The 22,451-nt window shown below is 39.3% G+C and overlaps 1 protein-coding gene across 2 annotated transcripts; it reads right to left on the bottom strand.

Moving 5' to 3' along the window:
- Positions 1-6,565: 6,565 nt before the first annotated feature.
- LCE6A (late cornified envelope 6A) lies at positions 6,566-7,693 on the bottom strand. 2 transcript variants are annotated; one of them, NM_001128600.2, is made up of 2 exons: positions 7,538-7,693; positions 6,566-7,049 (listed from the first exon to the last, which is right to left on the bottom strand). In NM_001128600.2, exon 2 carries the CDS (start codon positions 7,026-7,028, stop codon positions 6,786-6,788), a length of 243 nt encoding a protein of 80 aa, NP_001122072.1. In that variant the 5' UTR covers positions 7,029-7,049; positions 7,538-7,693; the 3' UTR covers positions 6,566-6,785. The 2 variants fall into 2 exon arrangements, with proteins under 2 accessions (NP_001122072.1, XP_016856816.1); XM_017001327.2 differs by having other exon boundaries at positions 7,641-7,693.
- Between the last annotated feature and the right edge of the window lie 14,758 nt (positions 7,694-22,451).

Here is a 22,451-nt window from a genome sequence, read left to right as displayed (position 1 = left end):
CAATTTCTTTTAGAATCCACTGTTATGATGGTCTATCCTTTCTTTGAAGAAAAAACGAGTGTATAATAGACTGTCTGTTTATATTCTGTATGTCAGGAAGTTCAGAACTACTCATTAGGCTGAGGTATAGCAACTATGTAGGTTGCAGATTGAATATCATGTGCTCTTTTATCTACTCACAGCCTGTTCCCTATGGTTTCCTGATTTCCTATTTATAGTTGTGTAACAGAGATGCTATGTTCACTCCTGTTCTGCTTCATAGGGACAATCAAAACTGTTTCAACCTGTGCCTTATATGGAGTGAGGCCCTCTCATGCCCATAACCCCATGCAAGATACCCATAACCTCACTCTTTGTGTCCAAACTATACGAAGGAAGCTTGTTCTCAGAAGTGGGTCTGTTAAGATGGAATGGCAGGAGGAGGAAGCTGAGTAGGAGGTTTTGATAGAAGGAGGTCCCCATGGAGTGAAAGCCTACTTCTATTCAGCCTCCAACCCCCACTAGCTGCTCCTCCTTTTTAGAGACCGTCTCACTCTGTTGCCCAGGCTGGAGTACAGTGAGTGGTACAATCATAGCCCACTGAAGCCTTGAATTCCTGGGTCAAGGGATCCTCCTGCCTCAGTCTCCTGAGTAGCTGGTACCACAGCTGCATGCCACCATGCCAAGCTATTTTTTCTTTTTTTTTTTTTTACCATTTTAGTCCAGATGAGATCTTGTTATATTGCCCAGACTGGTCTCAAGCTCCTGGGCTCAAGTGATCTTCCAGCCTTGGCCTTCCAAAGTACTGAGATTACAGCCTTAAGCCACGATGCTGAGGCTCTGTTCAGCTCCTTGACCTTCAGGATGTTCTGTCTTTACCTTGATCCCATCCTTACCCAGTTTCAAGAACCCTGGCTCACTCATTCTTTCTTTTCAATAAACAATCATATAACCTGCAAAGTCAAGAAAAAAATGTTGTTTACATAGGATACACTGACTACTGAGCATTTTATAATTTTGTTTTTAAAATAGAGTACACCATATAGGCAAACTGGGATTGAACATATAATTGAATATACGGCAGATGGTGAGAGCCTGATTTCTCAATATTGGAGTAAGAAATGATAGCTAAGCAAGGAAGGCTAGAATAAACCATGTGATACTAAATTAGAGTTAAGGACATCAGTATAAACTAATGGTTAGCTTATACAGAAAAAGATGGATACATATTGAAATAATTATGGATATACACTGATTAGTATATGCACATATATTTCTAATCTCTGTCCACTGAGAAAGCTTAGAAGCAATGACATTCCACTAGCAATGAGCACAACCAACACACTTGGTTTACAACACAATTTTTCAATAACAGAAGCCAAGGCTCACTAGAGCAATGAGTTAATCTAGGTTCAGGACAGAGACTATACAAGATAAGTCTGAAGCATCTTGTATGACCAGAAAGCCAGGGAGTGCTCTGAAAAGGAAGTGGTGGTGTTATTGGGGAAGAGACACAAGAGCCAACTGAAAGAGTTCCCAAGGCTGGAAAAATATGAGCAACAAGTAAATGACATATATTGGATTATAACCCAAAGTATGACATAAATATTATCCAATATCCATCAGTTCATGCTGATAAGAAGAAATGATTGTATAGTTCTTAAAAAGGGAGGGAAAATAGGAAAATCTCTCATAGAGAAGAATTACAAATAATTTATACAGCATATATAACATGTACTCCCAGCCCCATAAGGAGGTGTCTTGCCCTTGGAATGGGTGATGTGGAGTGACATCCTTCCTAAGACATGAGTACTGAAAGGGAAAGAAATGGAGTAACTTTACAATAGAGAAACTTGATGAACACTGTCCAGGGTCAGTGTTTGCAGTGAGGTCACATTGCTATATAACCTTGATATGATGTGATGAGAATGGCACTTAACCTCTGTGGTCTTCCTCCCAAAGGTCAATAATCCTATTATAATCATAGGAAAAACACTACACAAATCTCAATTGACAGACACTCTACGAAATACCCAACAGTACTGCTCAAACTGTCAAAGTCATCCAAAATACTAGGTTGGTGCAAAATTAATTGCACTATTACTTTTGCACCAACTTAATAAAAAAAGTCTGAGAAACAGTCACAGTCAAGAGGAACCTGAGGAGATGTGACCACTGACTATAACTTGATTTTCCTAAATGGGACTCAGGAACACAGAAAATTGATTATAACAAATTTACTATTAATGTTAGATATTAACAAAGGAAACTGAGTGCAGATATACAGGAATTCTTAACTATGTTTGCAATTTTTCTGTAAATCTAAAATTATTATAAAATAAACAATCTATTTAAAAAAATAGAATGTACCCCAAATGTAAACTACAACGAACTTACAACTTGGAGTTAAATTGAGTTAGATATGCAGTACATGTTACCTATGATATCATGTGCGATCCCTCCACAGTCTCACAAGGCAGATACTATAATTTTTATCTAATTTTTAGATGAGGAAGATTTCAGAGGTACAGAAATTTTCATAAAGCCACGGAGTTGTCAAAGATTTGAAGTGAGTTTCATCTGACAGGATTTCAACTTGTACTTGCTCTGTTAGGGAAGGTTTGGCCTAGGACTCTTACAGATGCATGTGAAAAAAGGGGATGGGCTTTTAGTTATTTATTTATAGAAAAGCAATACATTTAAATGAAAATTTAAAGTCAGGTAATCCAAATAGTTGTAATATGAAAAAATTAAGTATCAGTCTAAATAATCTGCTTATACATTTATTTCTTAGGCCGTGTCTATTTACCTTCTCAATAAAAAACAGAATTAAGCTCACATTCATCATCCCTTCCCTCCCTCCTTCTTATTTAGACATATTTTTAATTTTAATATCATTATTGGCTACCTCTATAACTTTAAATGCTATAATTAAAACTCTATTTCTTCATTCCTGAAGTTTTGGCAGTATTTCTTGACTTCGTACTAAATCAGCACCGCATTTCCTTCACTTTAGATTAATTTTATTTTAATATATTATTTGTGATATCTGTACAGGAATAAATAAAAGGAACGACTTATTATTTATGCTGTATCATGAAGTGTATACCATCCAATAGCAAAATACCGCCTGTCAAACACTGTAAACTCATAGCTGCTAAAAAGGTGTTATACTTAGGGAGTGGGCTATGCCAGCCGCAGTAGAGGTTGACTATGTTGACCATGGGCCAGGCTGAAGAGGGCCCTATTTGTCCTGGCTGGAGACCCGGAAAAGCTGGGCATATTGAGGCAGTGGATGGCCTGAACTGAGATCACTGGGCTCAAGTTCAGCTTCCGTGCAAGAGCTTGCTTGCTGGAAGGCTGGAGTCCAGACTTGTTAAGGAAGACAGAGTAGTGTTAGGAACTGACACCTGGGGATGTTTCAAAGTCCCTGGGGAGCGCTTCTAAACACCTAGCACCTTTTTTTCTTTTAACTTATGTGTTCTTTATTTAGTCCAAACAATATAGCATTTAACATTTTCTAAAAATTAGATAAAATAATATGTTAAATATCAAATATATAAAGTTTTTCTGTCAAAATAAAGTTTTCTGAATTAAAAGATGTAAAATATATGTAAGATTTTTAACATTTGTTAAAAGCATAAAGTTAGATATATTCTAAATAAAAGGAATTGTACCATTTACCTACTTTTGTTGTTCCTATGAAGTTACAAAATTTTATATATAGGACATTTAAAAAATACATGTATTTATTTATTTTAACTGGCAAATAAAATTTGTGCTGTATATATTTAGCATGTACAACATATTGTTTTGAAATAATGTGTACATTGTGGAATGAGTAAATCAAGCTAATTAACATGCATTATCTCACATACCTTTTTTTGTGGTGAGAATGCTTAAAACTACATATATATTTATGTATAAATCATAACATATATATAGATTTACAGGACATTTTGTGTAAAATATAAAGTCTGCATTTTTCATTACTTATTACTATAAAACAAAATACAATGTACATGTAGTATTAAAATGAAGCCATCCTAAAGCCATATAAAAAAGTCACTCCTATTGACATTTCTGATGTACAGGCATATTTTAGGAATTGTGAAGATGCCAAATACAGCCTTTATAAAGAAAAACAATAATCAAATCATTAGTTTATTTTCATTGTAGTAATTTAGAAATCAATTTGACACAGACTAACCAGTGTATCTATAGAATAATACATAGGTTGAACACTTAGCACAGGGAATTCAAGTACTGACTAGAGAAAGCTGAGTAGGCCAAAATAGTAAGTAATATTCCTGTCAAAGAAAAACAGTTTCTGTAAAAACTTTTTAAAAAATTTTCCTTTGGTAAATACCTGTCTTCAATAAAGAGCAGAAATAAAAAGTAGAAAAAAAGATGTTCTTACACATTGAGCTTTACACAATCAACTCAACATTGATATTTTGTATTTTTCCTAGGGAAATATGGGATTCTTCCCAAAAATCTCTCATGCAAATATAGACACAAAATTTCAAACAATGGTATATCAATATTCATAAGATATTGCTTCATATAATACAAAGCACTCTTTTTTCCTCAAAAGAGGAAGGCATCTAAACTTTCTTTAAAGTATAGATTTTATGATGGCAAATAGGTGGACACCTCTCAAGCTTTTTAGGAAGTGTCTCTTCTCAAAAAGTGGACTTTTTCCACTATAAACATGGGCAGTCTTTTAACTTTGTATTCACTTTTGCTCTCAAACAAAAGAAATCCCCTCTACCATAATTAATTTCTTAAGTGGAGTAATTTTTATTGCTCCCAAAATGCAGTCTTGCTGAAGAGTCTGAAAAAGTCTTCATAGTTTTGCTAATTTATTCCAATTCTAAAAACTTATTCTAAGAAAATTAAGAGTAACTATCAATGGGAATGATTATTTTAAATTACACTTGACAGCAAGTGCAAAAACAACATAAATGCCCAGTATTGGAGACCTAGTTATGCAGACCATGATGTGTTTGTGAATATCATGTGTAAATAGTGTTGATCAATATTTACCAGCATGGAAGAGTATTGACAATGACTCTTGTTCAATTTTACCATTTACTTAACAGTAAAAAAAATGTAGGTTATAAAGTATTCTGTAATGAACCCATTGTGTGATGTTTAAAGGTTTGCAAATACATCTATGAAATGATTAGCCATGGTTATTTTTAGGTGATAGGATTTTTAGGTTGATCTTAGTCATCTTCCTTAAGCTTATCTCCATTAACAAATCTTTTTTTTTTCTTTTTTTTTTTTTATTATACTTTAAGTTTTAGGGTACATGTGCACATTGTGCAGGTTAGTTACATATGCCCATTAACAAATCTTTATACAAGTGTGTGTCATTTGTTTAATGAGAAAAATCATGCATATGAAATTATAATTATATATAACCATGATACATATCTGCATATAGATGTGTGTCATCACAAAGGTGACATCATGTCCCAGCAATGAGGAGAATTACTAAGCTCTGAAAATGAGAATCCCATATACTGGATATTACAGGTTGAAATTCTGTTCTGAGCCTGGTCAATACAATCTATTGAGTTGGATATTTGGTTAAAAAAAGTAATGCTTTTAATGTCTTGCCAAAAATGCAGATCAACAAAATTATTTACATAAACTTATATTTATATGCATCATAGTTGAGCTTCAAGTCCCCTTCAAGTCTGTGTAATTTATGTCATGCTTCCCTCATCTCAGACTACTAGACTTGGGGTTTGGGCCCAGACTTTTCCCAGAGGTATGATCTTTTGGTAGCTGGTGTTTGATACCTAAAGCTCAGTAAACTCAGCTGGTTTGAATTATCATGAAGACTTGGGGTTATGAACTGTGTCATATCTCTCATCTCACACCTGGCACTCCAGCCAAATTGAAATACACACCATTGGCAAGTACCACCCTTGTTATGCATTTGTTTATGCTGGATCTTCCACCTGGATGAACTTTCCTCTTCACTGCACCTCCTAGCACCAAAGTCTGCTATCTTTAGAGGTCTGGGAGCCTCTTCTCCCCACTCCCAAGTGGGATACTCTCTTTCCTTCCAAGGCCTAGGAAACCACATTTGATCCACACCATCAGAATGGTTCTCCTCTCTCTGCTGTCTTTGACCTAAGGTACTTTTTAAATTTCTGCTTTAAGTTCTTTTGAACACAAATGAGAGATAAAAATGAGTAAATTAATCAGCTTAAAATGATATTTACTAATCCACTTGTTTCTATCTGAAGTGTCCATTGCATCTCCTACTGGATTATAAGCTTTCTAGAGCAGGGACAAATTTCCCACTTACATCTGTAAACACAGAGGCCAGTACACAGTAGGTGCTCAACATATGTTTATTGTAGTCTTTGGTGCTAGAATCATGCAATGACATGGGTTGATGGCTGTGAGGCTGCTGGAAACTGGGACATAAATCCCAGAACATCTGCTTCTTAAAAATACTATCAGCTGTCTTAAGAGGAAGGAGGAGAAGCACCATGCACTTGGGTTGAAGCGGGGGTCTCAGTACATCTGAGCAGGGGTCTCAAGAACTCACAGAAGTCAGGGCTCCAAGTAAAGCAGCTTTATTGTTGCTGAGCTGAAGGGGTGAATGGAAGAGAGCAGTAGCAGCGTGGCTCAGCCTAGTTCTCGCTTCTCTAGAGCTGGGGATCAGGAAGTGTTTCTCAGTCCAAATGAGAGGTTGAGGGCCTGGCTTTCCAAGGGGGAATTAGTACCCAAAGGTGGGGCAGGGAGAGAGTAACTGCACCTGTGCCTCAACTCTTCTGGGCTCAGTCGCCTTCACACTCTTCCTCTTTGCAGTGGTAGGTTGTGCCCCTACTTAGGCAGCGCAGCTTTTGACGAGCCCTCCTAGGCTTCTGAACCTCAGGCCTTTGGGAACTGGAATGACAACCTTCTGAATGGGGAGCACCACAAGGAGTCGAGTAGGGAGCTAGGCAGGGGTTTGATCTTTGGGGAGGGGAGCATTTGGGAACATTTGGAGGCTTCCAAGATTGCTGCTTCTGCTGTGACATTGCTTGGCTACCAGGTCGAATCTGGAAGAAAAATAGTTATATCAGGGACCCAGGCAGCTTGGGCTTCTGTTTCTCTCCTCCACAAACTGGAGCTGTCAAAAATGAAGTCCAGCATTTACAACCCACTGAACTCCATCTCAGGAGGAGAAAAACGGACTTGAAAGGACTAAATATTTGGGAGTAAATCTTCCCAGGGGACTCACTTACTAATAACCATGTTAATGATATATGCTTCCTTAAAAAAAAAAAAAGACAAATTGTACTTAGTTGAGCTGACAGTTTACTTTTCCCAGCCCAATGTCCACCTGGTTAAGTGCAAAGGAGAGCCAAGTCTCTGCTCTTTCTTTACTCTGTCTTATTCTGTCCCCAGACTCCTAAGTCTGACTGTCCCATCTCTGCTTTTCTGGCCCTCTAACTTCTATGGCTTTCTCCCATGTTAGATTATTTGGGGTCTTTCTTTTGCAGGGATCCACTTCTCTTCCCTTCTTTCTACCCCAAGCATCTCCTACCTGGCTTTTCAGCTCCCTGGGAAGAGACGAGAGGAGAGATCAGGACTGCCTAAGCAGCACTTGAGCTACATCCAAGTGTCTCCTCAGCCAGAAGTAGCCTTACCCTAGTGGAAGATGTGTGGACAAGTTATCCCAGGAGGAGTCTGGAGGCCTTGTGTTGCCAGGAAGTAAGAGGCTCTTTTATATATCCTCCAGTTGAAGCCTCCAGGCCACATGTCATTGGAGGAGAGCCATGGAGTGGATGATTGATCTGGGTATTTCACAATTCCCAGTGCTAGATTCCTCAGCTACATGTAGCTGGGATGTGGTTCAAAGGCATCTGCAGGTGCGTGAGTGAGCAGAAGGCTGGGGCCTTCAGATTGGCCTACGCAGAAGTGGGTACACTGGCTAATCTGGATGATGTCCTTGGGAGGCTGGGCGGGTTGCAGCTGCTGTTGAATTCTATGTAGGATTGGAGGGAAAAATCAGGTTCGACATCACCCAGGGTCTGAGGAAGACCTTCCTTGTCTACTCCCCACCCATCATCCATGACTGTCAGCATCCCATTCCGTGTCATCACCTCTGTGGAGATTGGCCCATTGCTCTAGCCACACATGAGTCCTTCATCCTCTGACCTTTATAGATACATGTCACAGCCTTTACTATTGCTTTGGGTCGTGTGACCAAGATACATATCCTATCTCACCTATTAAACTGTTATTTGATGACAGTGCCTTTATCACTTCTGCATTCCTAGAGCCTGATGTTGTTCCTGACACAAAGAAAATACTCATTAGTATTTGTTGAATGAAACAGTCTATGTGCCATTAGAAAAGACTTTGTGTTTCAGGAGAAAAAAACAGGAATAAAATAAAGCCCAACTCATTTTGTTTTGTGGACGAGACCTTGACTTCTTGTTTCCATCATTCTCCCCTAAGGCATTTGTGAACACCCTTTCATAAATACTACAGGGAACTCTGTGGGTGGACCTCACCTTACACAATAGGCTGAGCAGAGGGTGGGAAGCAAAACCTTCACACACCTGCTGTCTCTTAAATGCAAAAGGGGAGCTGTTCTTGGAATTATCAAGGGACATTGTGGAAAAGCCTTCCACAGAGTGAAAAGTTCTTCTTTAGCTTTCATGAAAATTGAGATAATCATGTTTTGGCAGTGCTTAAATTGGGAACATTCTCTAAACACAGTCCCTCACCTCTGGATGCTTCCATCTCAGAATCGCTCCTGGTGTGCCCAGCTAAGTTAAAAGGCACTGATGAAACTCCCTGCTGCTCAAGAGTGTGCCTCACCTGCCTCTGTATTTCTGATGCCTGACACACAGTAGGTATTCAGGAAACAGTTGGGTAAATAAAAAGATGAGCAATTACAAGGAACATTCTGACTGTAGGGGCAGTCCTCAAAGGCCTTCAAATCATGTATAGGACAAAGGTGAGTAGGGTTGGGGTATGGGAGAGGGTATGAAGACCAGGGTGGAAAATAGGACAAGGCCAGAAAAGGAGCAGCTATTGGATCCCAAAATCCAGCAGGGCAGGATCATCAGGTTTCAATTGCTTCATCTGGGAAAACTTTGAGATGCAGTTTGGATGGAGGAAGAGAAGATCTTTGTGAGTGAAACAGCAGGTGGAAGAATGGTATGAAACCTCGCTCACTCTGTTAGAGCAGAGCCCTGGAGAGAGAGTGCCTGATTTAGACAGCCTCAGGGATAGACCCCATCTTCCTTTACTTCCTTTTCCCTTTTCTCTCTCCTTCTCTTTCTCCTCTTTTCTTCCCTCAGACACCAGAAATAACTCTGATGGTGCCTCAGAAGTGCTTCCCTTGCACTAAGCATTAGCAGGAAGGCAAAGTAACACTGGTCTCAATGCACCAGTTGCTCCTTTTCCCCACCCAAGACCTGCACCACTTAAACACATGCTTCAGAGACCTCACACATCACAAATGCATTTTTTTGAAGTTAACTAGCAAGTACCCAACCCTTACTGTCTCTGCCTAGGGCTGAGGGTTCTTTCTGGAGGCTCTGCCCTAGGCAAACTACACTTCCTGCCCCTTCTATATCTCTCCCAGACCACCTCCCATAATAAATTGCCCACAGAAATCTCTTAGCCCCCTCCTTTTCAGTACAGTGAATTTCATCACATATAGGATGGAGTGTGTCCAGCATCTAGATTTGCCTAGCTCATTAAGTGAGCCTGTTTGAGGCCCCTGAGCTGCACTGTCTTCCAGATAAACTTAAAAGTCCAGCCAGTTTTAAATCAGGACCACAGAAATGTAATGTTCTTATTCTAATCCCACTCCACTTCTCTTCCTGGTTCAGATTGTGTCTATAATTATGTGATTTGATATTTATTAAGTCCCAACTATGTACTGGATACAAGAAAGAATAAGATGTCTATATTATGTTTCAAAGCTTTCACTCTCCAGAGGGAATACAGACAAATTAATAGGTAACACAAGCTTGTAAGTGAAAAATCGGCAAATAGGCAAACTGTAGTTGTAGCTTGAGAATACAACTAGTCCTCTTAAATGTACCAAATTAGAAAGGTAGTGTCTCAAGTATGTAGCTCCCACCATTATCAGAGTCCCCACCTGGTCTGAAGACAGGAGCCCATCTCTGAGAATAATCCCATCTCATTCCTGGTCTCTATTCAGGAGACTGTTTCTCTGAGCAAGAGATATCTCTAGGTCCCCAGCCTCAAATGAAGTTGCTTGGCTTCCCATGACTGGGTTTCTCTTTGGTCAATTTCTTTCTGATATCTCAAATCATTTAACTATTCCTGAAGTAACTCCTCAAATATATTTTTAAAATCTCTTTTATTTTGCTTTATGTTTTTAATGAATAATTGCCCTGACTGTTAAGTGTTCATTCAGAACACTCTGATGTCTTCCGGATAAATCTAAATTCCTTTAGCCAGCATTCAAGTCCCTGTGTATACTCGAACCTATCCCATCGCTTTATGCTTAACTTCTGGAACTTCCTTTCATTATGTCTCCTCCTCTGCTGAATGGATGGATTTATTGTATGGTGAACTGGCTTTTATCCTGTCTGATGTCCGTCTGTCTCTACCTCTCTTTCTTCCTCCCTTTTCCACTCTATCTCTTTGTCTTCCTCTTATTTCCTCAGCCTGCCTGCCTTCCTTCTTCCTCTCTTTTTTTCTTTCTTCCTTCCTTCTTTTTTCTTTCTTTCTTTCTTTCCTTTCCTTTCTTTCTTTCTTCCTTTCTTTTTTCTTTTCTTTCTTTTTCTTTTTCTTTTTGTCTTTCTTTGTGTCTTACTTCTTGTCTTTCTTGGTTCCTCTTCTGAGACTACTTCCGAGGGCCAGTTCAAATCCCGTGTTCTCTGTAATGAATTTCTAGACAATGCCTGGCTGAGAAAATCTTTCAGAGCATTTATTACTTGTTATACATATAATTTATTATCATAAACAATTGTACTTGTATGTGATATTGTTAATGCCTTGAACATGGGGCTATTATCTGTATATCTCAAGCCCCATTTCAGTGTACACAATGGTTCATTACAGTTACTAGTTATTAGGTTTGTTAATTATTAAGTTTTTAAAAATCCCCATCACAGATGTTTGCAAAGAACTTTAGTTTACAGAATGCTTTTCAAATATTATGTCCTGAGTCAATTAATTCTGATGAAATACAGACTCAGGCCATGATGAAATCAGACACTTACAGTGAGTTTGGGATTGTCCACATCACACTGTGGGCACCTCAACTATATTTCCTGAACACTATTATATTTTTACTTAGACTGTGCCAAAGAGTTTAGTTTGAGGGGAGTGTTCATGTCCTTTGTAGGGACATGGATGAAATTGGAAATCATCATTCTCAGTAAACTATCGCAAGAACAAAAAAACCAAACACCGCATATTCTCACTCATAGGTGAGAATTGAACAATGAGATCACATGGACACAGGAAGGGGAATATCACACTCTGGGGACTGTGGTGGGGGGGGAGGGGGGAGGGATAGCATTGGGAGATATACCTAATGCTAGATGACGAGTTAGTGGGTGCAGCGCACCAGCATGGCACATGTATACATACGTAACTAACCTGCACAATGTGCACATGTACCCTAAAACTTAAAGTATAATAAAAAAATAAATAAATAAATAAATAAATAAAAGAAATCTATATCATGTTTTCTACAGGTACTTCTTATTTTAGAACCCAGCCCTGCTCATGTTTTCTTAGGAAGAAAGGCCAAGAGATCTGGTCCTACCTCTTTCCTCCAGGTAGGATGGTATCCAAACCACCAATTATCCTGACTTGTACTCAAGACTATAATATCATCAGAACTGGCTTGTTAATCTAGGCCAAGCTTGTTCAACTCCTGTGGGCCCCATGTGACCCAGGACGGCTTTGAATGTGACCCATCACAAATTTGTAAACCTTCTTAAAACATGAAATTTTTTGTGATTTTTTTTAGACCATCATCTATTGTTAGTATTATTGTGTGGCCCAAGTATTAATAGTATTTTATGTGTGGCCCAAGACAATTTTTCTTCTTCCAATGTGGACCAAGGAAGCCAAAAGATTGGATGCCCCTGATGTAGACCATTGGATATAAGTGGTTTAGTTTCCATTTCAATAGAATAAATTGTCATTGGCAAAAGAAGAGCTTAGTGTAGTGTTTTCTTCATCAGACGAGTAAGTCTCTTTTTTCCCTTTCTCATCATCCAAAGAAAGAGAAAAGAAAGCTTCTAAGATTTAGAAGAAAATAATTAAAACTGTGTCCACAGCAGGAAGGGGAACATCACACACCGGGCCTGTTGTGGGGTGGGGGAAGTGGGGAGGGAAAGCATTAGGAGATATACCTAATGTAAATGATGAGTTAATGGGTGCAGCACACCGACATGGCACATATATACATATGTAACAAACCTGCACATTGTGCACATGTACCCTAGAACTTAAAGTATAAAAAAAAAAAGAATTAAAAATAAATAAATAAATACAAAAAAACTGTGTCCACAGCTTAGGTTGTTCACAACTCTATGTTAAAAAAACTTTTAAAGACTAAATTATAAAAGAAATCTATAAATACATAAAATCTCAATTCAGAGTATTTTCTAAAAAGCCTTATGGAAAACCTAAGACAAATTAAATAAAAATCCCTTTAGGGAGGACTTTCAGAACAGTGGCATGAAGAACTCCTTGGACCCTTCTCCTAGCAAAATAATTAAGACTTGAAAAAAAAGTTTTGCAATCATCCTTTGCAAATTGTCCTAAGGGTATAGAGCAAATTAAAAAACTTTTATTCAAGAAAATCTACTAAATCATAGTAACAATAACAATAGTCTGTGGCACTTGAATCACAACTTGCACCCTCCCTAATCTCTTCCAGTTGGGCATGATGCTAGCTCCACTCTTGGAAGATGCAATCAATGAGATAAGGTTCCATCCCCCTTTAGCTCCAAATCATGGCCTCCAGTGTCTTCCTGTGAGGGGGAGGCTGCCAACATTTCTTACACCTCTTCCCTTAGTTCTGTGGTATAGAGGCTAAATTCCAGGAGGGGGACTCTAAGAGATTGGGGGCTTTCTTACTCCCCATCTCCCACTCATGGGGCAGGCAGTCACTCTACCTCAGGTGCAGCAGGGCAAGAATATTGGGACACCAAAGTCCTTTGTCCCAGCTCACTTGTAGGGTGGAGGATCGATGGTGGGAGAAACAATCCAAGAAGAATAGTGGTTGCCACCCCATTAAAGTGTTCTGCTCATTAATCAGCAGTGAGCTCCAGGAGACATTTGCCCTCAGCTCAAAAGCAGTGGCTAAGAGAATTTGTCCAGGGAAGAGGATGTCCAGAAAACCCAGAGAACTCCAAAGTTCTCACCAAAGGAACTGACTATATTTGGAAAAGAGTGTGGGGACGTTCAAGCTTAAAGGCACTTTGGTAAATGGGAGAGATTTTGTTGGCAAGCATTTAAGAAGAGGCTGTTGAGTCATAAGAGCAATATGCTAAACCATAGGGCAGCTTGTTTACCAGAGAAAACCAAGGAAAGTGAGGGCTAAGTAGAGTCTTCCCGAGTTTAGAACAAATTTCAAACCTGGCCTCAAACACTACCCTTGAAAAGGGGCCTAGACTTAATTGGCTTCAATTATGAAGCAATTTCTGTTTGTGTTCTAGGACATTATCAGAAATAATAAACCAATCTGTCAGCAACTGTTGTGAAGCCTAACAGTTGTGTGTGATGCCAACAGAGATAGCTTAACAGAGAAATCATCGAAGAGACAACCAAAGAGAGTTCTGCTAAACCTACTGTCATTCAGGGTAACTGTGAGCAAGCCCAGGGTTGAGTCCCCTGAGGAGTGACATCAGAGACATCCCATTTCAGGAGAAATAGACTTTACTAATATAGTCTATCTAAATAGTCAAACAAATAAACAAGCAACAGCACACCTTAAAGGGAGAGGAGTATCATTACACAGAGTTGCTACATTCTAATCTCTAAAATAACCACTTTTAAAGAAAAAACACATGATACATGCAAATAAACTAGAAAGTGTGACCCTTACACAGGAAAAGAAGCAATAAACAGAAACTTCCTGGGAGACGGCCCAAAGGCTGGACTTAATAAACAAAAATTCCAAAGTAGCCATTGTTGCCACTTTTAAAGAATTATAGGAAACTATTTTTTTTTTTATTATTATACTTTAAGTTTTAGGATACATGTGCACAATGTGCAGGTTAGTTACATATGTATACATGTGCCATGTTGATGTGCTGCACCCATTAACTCGTCATTTAGCATTATGTATATCTCCTAATGCTATCCCTCCCCTCTACCCCGACCCCACAACAGGCCCCGGTGTGTGATGTTCCCCTTCCTGTGTCCATGTGCTCTCATGGTTCAATTCCCACCTATGAGTGAGAGCATGTGGTGTTTGGTTTTTTGTCCTTGCAATAGTTTGCTGAGAATGATGGTTTCCAGCTTCATCCATGTCCCTACAAAGGACATGAACTCATCATTTTTTATGGCTGCATAGTATTCCATGGTGTATATGTGCCACATTTTCTTAATCCAGTCTATCATTGTTGGACATTTGAGTTGGTTCCAAGTCTTTGCTATTGTGAATAGTGCCGCAATAAACATACGTGTGCATGTGTCTTTATAGCAACATGATTTATAATCCTTTGGGTATATACCCAGTAATGGGATGGCTGGGTCAAATGGTATTTCTAGTTCTAGATCCCTGAGGAGTTGCCACACTGACTTCCACAGTGGTTGAACTAGTTTACAGTCCCACCAACAGTGTAAAAGTGTTCCTATTTCTCCACATCCTCTCCAGCACCTGTTGTTTCCTGACTTTTTAATGATCGCCATTCTAACTGGTGTGAGATGGTATCTCATTGTGGTTTTGATTTGCATTTCTTTGATGGCCAGTGATGATGAGCATTTTTTCATGTGTCTTTTGGCTGCATAAATGTCTTCTTTTGAGAAGTGTCTGTTCATATCCTTCGCCGACTTTTTGATGGGGTTGTTTGTTTTTTTCTTGTAAATTTGTTTGAGTTCATTGTAGATTCTGGATATTAGCCTTTTGTCAGATGTGTAGGTTGCAAAATTTTTCTCCCATTCTGTAGGTTGCCTGTTCATTCTGATGGTGGTTTCTTTTGCTGTGCAGAAGCTCATTAGTTTAATTAGATCCCATTTGTCAATTTCGGCTTTTGTTGCCATTGCTTTTGGTGTTTTAGACATGAAGTCCTTGCCCATGCCTATGTACTGAATGGTATTGCCTAGGTTTTCTTCTAGGGTTTTTATGGTTTTAGGTCTAACATGTAAGTCTTTAATCCATCTTGAATTAATTTTTGTATAGGGTGTAAGGAATGGATCCAGTTTCAGCTTTCTACATATGGCTAGCCAGTTTTCCTAGCACCATTTATTAAATGGGGAATCCTTTCCCCATTGCTTGTTTTTGTCAGGTTTGTCAAAGATCAGATAGTTGTAGATATGCGGCATTATTTCTGAGGGCTCTGTTCTGTTCCATTGGTGTATATCTCTGTTTTGGTACCAGTACCATGCTGTTTTGGTTACTGTAGCCTTGTAGTATAGTTTGAAGTCAGGTAGCGTGATGCCTGCAGCTTTGTTCTTTTGGCTTAGGATTGACTTGGCAATGAGGGCTCTTTTTTGGTTCCATATGAACTTTAAAGTAGTTTTTCCCAATTCTGTGAAGAAAGGCATTGGTAGCTTGATGGGGATGGCATTGAATCTATAAATTATCTTGGGCAGTATGGCCATTTTCACGATATTGATTCTTCCTACCCATGAGCATGGAATGTTCTTCCATTTGTTTGTATCCTCTTTTATTTCGTTGAGCAGTGGTTTGTAGTTCTCCTTGAAGAGGTCCTTCACAACCCTTGTCAGTTGGATTCCTAAGTATTTTATTCTCTTTGAAGCAATTGTGAATGGGAGTTCACTCATGATTTGGCTCTCTGTTTGTCTGTTATTTGTGTATAAGAATGCTTGTGATTTTTGCACATTGATTTTGTATCTTGAGACTTTGCTGAAGCTGCTTATCAGCTTAAGGAGATTTTGGGCTGAGACAATGGGGTTTTCTAGATATACAATCATGTCATCTGCAATCAGGGACAATTTGACTTCCTCTTTTCCTAATTGAATACCCTTTATTTCCTTCTCCTGCCTGATTGCTCTGGCCAGTACTTCCAACACTATGTTGAATAGGAGTGGTGTGAGAGGGCATCCCTGTCTTTTGCCAGTTTTCAAAGGGAATGCTTCCAGTTTTTGCCCATTCAGTATGATATTGGCTATGGGTTTGTCATAGATAGCTCTTATTATTTTGAGATACGTCCCATCAATATCTAATTTATTGAGAGTTTTTAGCATGAAGTGTTGTTGAATTTTGTCAAGGCCTTTTCTGCATCTATTGAAATAATCATGTGGTTTTTGTCTTTGGTTCTGTTTATATGCTGGATTGCGTTTATTGATTTTCGCATGTTGAACCAGTCTTGCATCCCAGGGATGAAGCCCACTTGATCATGGTGGTTAAGTTTTTGATGTGTTGCTGGATTTGGTTTGCCAGTATTTTATTGACGATTTTTGCATCAATGTTCATCAAGGATATTGGTCTAAAATTCTCTTTTTTTGTTGTGTCTCTGCCAGGCTTTGGTATCAGGATGATGCTGGCCTCATAAAATGAGTTAGGGAGGATTCCCTCTTTTTCTATTGATTGGAATAGTTTCAGAAGGAATGGTACCAGCTCCTCCTTGTACCTCTGGTAGAATTTGACTGTGAATCCATCTGGTCCTGGACTTTTTTTGGTTGATAAGCTATTAATTATTGCCTCAATTTCAGAGCCTGTTATTGGTCTGTTCAGAGATTCAACTTCTTCCTGGTTTAGTCTTGGGAGAGTGTATGTATCGAGGAATTTATCCATTTCTTCTAGATTTTCTAGTTTATTTGCGTAAAGGTGTTTGTAGTATTCTCTGATGGTAGTTTGTATTTCTGTTGGATCGATGGTGATATCCCCTTTATCATTTTTTATTGCATCTATTTGATTCTTCTCTCTTTTCTTCTTTATTAGTCTTGCTAGTGGTCTATCAATTTTGTTGATCTTTTCAAAAAACCAGCTCCTGGATTCATTGATTTTTTGAAGGGTTTTTTGTGTCTCTATTTCCTTCAGTTCTGCTCTGATTTTAGTTATTTCTTGTCTTCTGCTAGCTTTTGAATGTGTTTGCTCTTGCTTCTCTAGCTCTTTTAATTGTGATGTTAGGGTGTCAATTTTAGATCTTTCCTGCTTTCTCTTGTGGGCATTTAGTGCCATAAATTTCCCTCTACACACTGCTTTGAATGTGTCCCAGAGATTCTGGTATGTTGTGTCTTTGTTCTCATTCGTTTCAAAGAACATCTTTATTTCTGCCTTCATTTTATTATGTACCCAGTAGTCATTCAGGAGCCGGTTGTTCAGTTTCCATGTAGTTGAGTGGTTTTGAGTGAGTTTCTTAATCCTGAGTTCTAGTTTGATTGCACTGTGGTCTGAGAGACAGTTTGTTATAATTTCTGTTCTTTTACATTTGCTGAGGAGTGCTTTACTTCCAACTATGTGGTCAATTTTGGAGTAGGTGTGGTGTGGTGCTGAAAAGAATGTATATTCTCTTGATTTGGGGTGGAGAGTTCTGTAGATGTCTATTAGGTCCATTTGGTGCAGAGCTGAGTCCAATTCCTGGATATCCTTGTTAACTTTCTGTCTCGCTGATCTGTCTAATGTTGACAGTGGCGTGTTAAAGTCTCCCATTATTATTGTGTGGGAGTCTAAATCTCTTTGTAGGTCACTAAGGACTTGCTTTATGAATCTGGGTGCTCCTGTATTGGGTGCATAAATATTTAGGATAGTTAGCTCTTCTTGTTGAATTGATCCCTTTACCATTATGTAATGGCCTTCTTTGTCTCTTTTGATCTTTATTGGTTTAAGGTCTGATTGCAACCCCTGCCTTTTTTTTGGTTTTCCATTTGCTTGGTAGATCTTCCTCCATCCCTTTATTTTGAGCCTATGTGTGTCTCTGCACGTGAGATGGGTTTCCTGAATACAGCACACTGATGGGACTTGACTCTTTATCCAATTTGCCAGTCTGTGCCTCTTAATTGGAGCATTTAGCCCATTTACATTTAAGGTTAATATTGTTATGTGTGAATTTGATCCTGTCATTATGATGGTAGCTGGTTATTTTGCTCAGTAGTTGATGCAGTTTCTTCCTAGCCTTGATGGTCTTTACAATTTGGCATGTTTTTGCAGTGGCTGGTACCAGTCGTTCCTTTCCATTTTTAGTGCTTCCTTCAGGAGCTCTTTTAGGGCAGGCCTGGTGGTGACAAAATCTCTCAGCATTTGCTTGTCTATAAAGTATTTTATTTCTCCTTCACTTACGAAGCTTAGTTTGGCTGGATATGAAATTCTGGGTTGAAAATTCTTTTCTTTAAGAATGTTGAATATTGGCCCCCACTCTCTTCTGGCTTGTAGAGTTTCTGCCGAGAAATCAGCTGTTAGTCTGATGGGCTTCTCTTTGTGGGTAACCCGACCTTTCTCTCTGGCTGCCCTTAACACATTTTCCTTCATTTCAACTTTGGTGAATCTGACAATTGTGTGTCTTGGAGTTGCTCTTCTCGAGGAGTATCTTTGTGGCATTCTCTGTATTTCCTGAATTTGACTGTTGGCCTGCCTTGCTAGATTGGGGAAGCTCTCCTGGATAATATCCTGCAGAGTGTTTTCCAACTTGGTTCCATTCTCCCCGTCACTTTCAGGTACAGCAATTAGATGTAGAGTTGGTCTTTTCACATAGTCCCATATTTCTTAGAGGCTTTGTTCGTTTCTTTTTATTCTTTTTTCTCTAAACTTCTCTTCATGCTTCATTTCATTCATTTCATCTTCCATTGCTTATACCCTTTCTTCCAGTTGATCACATTGGTTACTGAGGCTTGTGCATTCATCACGTAGTTCTCGTGCCTTGGTTTTCAGCTCCATCAGTTCCTTTAAGGACTTCTCTGCATTGATTATTCTAGTTATCCATTCGTCTAACTTTTTTTCAAAGTTTCTAACTTCTTTGCCATTGGTTAGAACTTCCTCCTTTAGCCTGGAGTAGTTTGATCTTCTGAAGCCTTCCTCTCTCAACTCGTCAAAGTCATTCTCCATCCAGCTTTGTTCCATTGCTGGTGAGGAGCTGCGTTCCTTTGGAGGAGGAGAGGTGCTCTGATTTTTAGAGTTTCCAGTTTTTCTGCTCTGTTTTTTCCCCATCTTTGTGGTTTTATCTACCTGTGGTCTTTGATGATGGCGACGTACAGATGGGTTTTTGGTGTGGATGTCCTTTCTGTTTTTTACTTTTCCTTCTAAAAGTCGGGACCCTCAGCTGCAGGTCTGTTGGAGTTTACTGGAGGTCCACTCCAGACCCTGTTTGCCTGGGTATCAGCAGCAGTGGCTGCAGAACAGCGGATATTGGTGAACTGCAAATGCTGCTGCCTGATCGTTCCTCTGGAAGTTTTGTCTCAGAGGAGTACCCAGCCCTGTGAGGTGTCAGTCCGCCCCTACTGGGGGATGCCTCCCAGTTAGGCTATTCGGGGGTCAGGGACCCACTTGAGGAGGCAGTCTGTCCGTTCTCAGATCTCAAGCTGTGTGCTGGGAGAACCACTACTTTCTCCAAAGCTGTCAGACAGGGACATTTAAGACTGCAGAGGTTATTGCTGTCTTTTGTTTGTCTGTGCCCTGCTCCCAGAGGTGGAGCCTACAGAGGCAGGCAGGCCTCCTTGAGCTGTGGTGGGCTCCACCCAGTTTGAGCTTCGGGGCCACTTTGTTTACCTACTCAAGCCTGAGCAATGGTGGGCGCCCCTCCCCTAGCCTCGCTGCTGCCTTGCAGTTTGAACTCAGACTGCTGTGCTAGCAATGAGCGAGGCTCCATGGCCTAGGACCCTCTGAGCCAGGTGCAGGATGTAATCTCCTGGTGTGCCGTTTGTTAAGCCCGTTGGAAGAGCGCAGTATTAGGGTGGGAGTGACCCGATTTTCCAGGTGCCGTCTGTCACCCCTTTCTTTGACTAGGAAAGGGAATTCCCTGACCCCTTGCACTTCCTGGGTGAGGCGATGCCTCGCCCTGCTTCGGCTCACGCATGGTTCACTGCATCCACTGTACTGCACCCACTGTCCTGCACTCCCCCTTGAGATGTACCCAGTACCTCAGTTGGAAATGCAGAAATCACCTGTCTTCTGCATTGCTTATGCTGGGAGCTGTCAGGAAACTATTTTTAAAGAAGTAAAGGAAGGTATGGTAATGTTTATAAAATAAATAATGTCAATAAACAGGTAGAATTTTTTTAAAGAATTAACTTGAAATTCTAGAGTTGAAAAGTAAAATAATTGAAATGAAAAATTCAACAATATATTGAACTGTCAGAAGAGAGAATCAGCAAATTAGATCAATAGCAATTAAGCAATTTAAATAACACTGAGAAAAAAGTAATGAAGAAAAGTAGGCAGAACCTCAGAAAATTTTGGGATATATGCACACCAACATATGTGTAATAGGAGTACAAGAAGGAGTGGATAGAGAAAAGGAACAGAAAACAGAAAAAAATTCAAAAATAATGATGTAAAATTTACTAAATTTGATGAAAAACAATCTATTCATTTAACAAGATCAACAAACTCCAAGTATGAGATACACAAAAAGACTCACATCTAGAGACATCACTGTAAAAGTATTGGGGAAAAAAGGTGAAGAGTGACTCCTGAAAACAGTGAAAGAAAAATGACTCATCACTTACAAGGAAACCCCAATAATATTTATAGCTTATTTTTAATCAATGAAAGCCAGAGGCATTGGAATGGCATTTTCAAAATGCTGAGAAGAAAAACAAAAAACAAGAATCAAAACAAAACTGTCAACTAAAGCTACACACAAAGAACAGTGGAAGAGAATTGAGTGTCAAAAATAAACCATAAATTGATGGTTAACGATTTTTTGACAAGGGTGCCAAAAATTTGACTGTTTCACTGAGGAAACAATAGTCTTTCAACAAATAATGCTATGGCTACTGGAAAACCACAAGCAAAATAATAAAATTGACCCTTATCTTATAACATTAAAAACATTTAACTCAAAATGGATCAAAAACCGAACTGAGGGCCTAAAACAATAAAAGTTGTAGAAGAAAATATACAAGAAAATCTTTATGACCTTATGGGAAAACACAGTCTTGGCTTTCATGGAACTCTGGTCTGAGATGGCTATATAGCAGCTGCCCTTAGGGAGCACGCAGTCCAAGTTGGGGAGAGAGAAACCTGGACCTTAGCGTGTGTCTGATCCCAGCTGGAACATTATTTCCTTTCTGGGGAATGGTATCATCTGTCACTTTGGCCACCAGTCAGCTCCATACTTATTAATATGCTAGTTGAATTATTTGGAGGGGTCACCCAATATGTGCAGTGCTTGAGCTCCTTCTTGTTACTGAAGCCAAAAGGAATATATCCCTCATCTAGTCTCCTGGAATAGTCAAGAAGCAGGTATATGGCTGAGAATCAGTGTACTGGATGTCCCTTGGGTGACTGACCAAAGACACAGGGACATCTAGAGGTTGTATTAATCAGAGCATTTGTGAGGTGGACATCACATTATTCCTACATGTTCTTGCTGTCTGATCTGCCAGACACCAGGGGGTTTTCATGGATTAAAAAATAAGTGCAGGGTATTGCCCACTTATCCAGTTCATAGTAAAATTATTGAGGCATAATACACACAACATTAAATTAACAATTATTCAATCTCATGTAAAATTTGTAATTGAAAAAATATTGATGAAAAATCAGGACTTCTTCACAAAATATAGAGACGAAATATTTGACTGGAAAGATTGGACTTGGGACTCTGGGAGAGAAAAGAAAGACATTGATTTTTAACATACTGATTCCTTTTCTACGGATTTTTAAGTTTTTTCAGATCATATTTACCACATGTTCTATGCATACTTGTAGTTAGAATAGTCTAAGATTCATGGTCTGTTTGCAGGAAGTTTACATATAATTTTCTAATATTTTTTACTGAAAGAGAATGAAATTTGGGAGTGAGTGGGCAGTATTGTAAAGGGGAGGAGGGGTAGATGGATGAAAGGATGGGGTGCATATCTGTCTCCCTGCCACACCCTGGAGACCAAGTAGGACCCTGAAGAAGTCCAAAGCACAAGGCTCTGTGTTCCTGAAACACCAGGAAGATGGGCACAGGCAGAGCCACGTAGTGATTCCTCTGACATAAGGTGTCAAAGTAGGAGCCATAGAAGTTTTTCTCTCCCCTCCTCCATATCTTTAGCCATGCGACTAGCACATCTTGATTTCCAAAGCTTCCAGGCAGCAGGAAAGTAGAGAGCAGTGAAAAAAATATTGGAGACACAAACAGGCAAGGAACAGTCCACAATAAGTGGCAAGA

Source organism: Homo sapiens, chromosome 1, assembly GCF_000001405.40.
Source record: "Homo sapiens chromosome 1, GRCh38.p14 Primary Assembly".
Lineage (NCBI taxonomy): Eukaryota > Metazoa > Chordata > Mammalia > Primates > Hominidae > Homo > Homo sapiens.
This window is presented reverse-complemented; position numbering and strand designations above follow the sequence as displayed.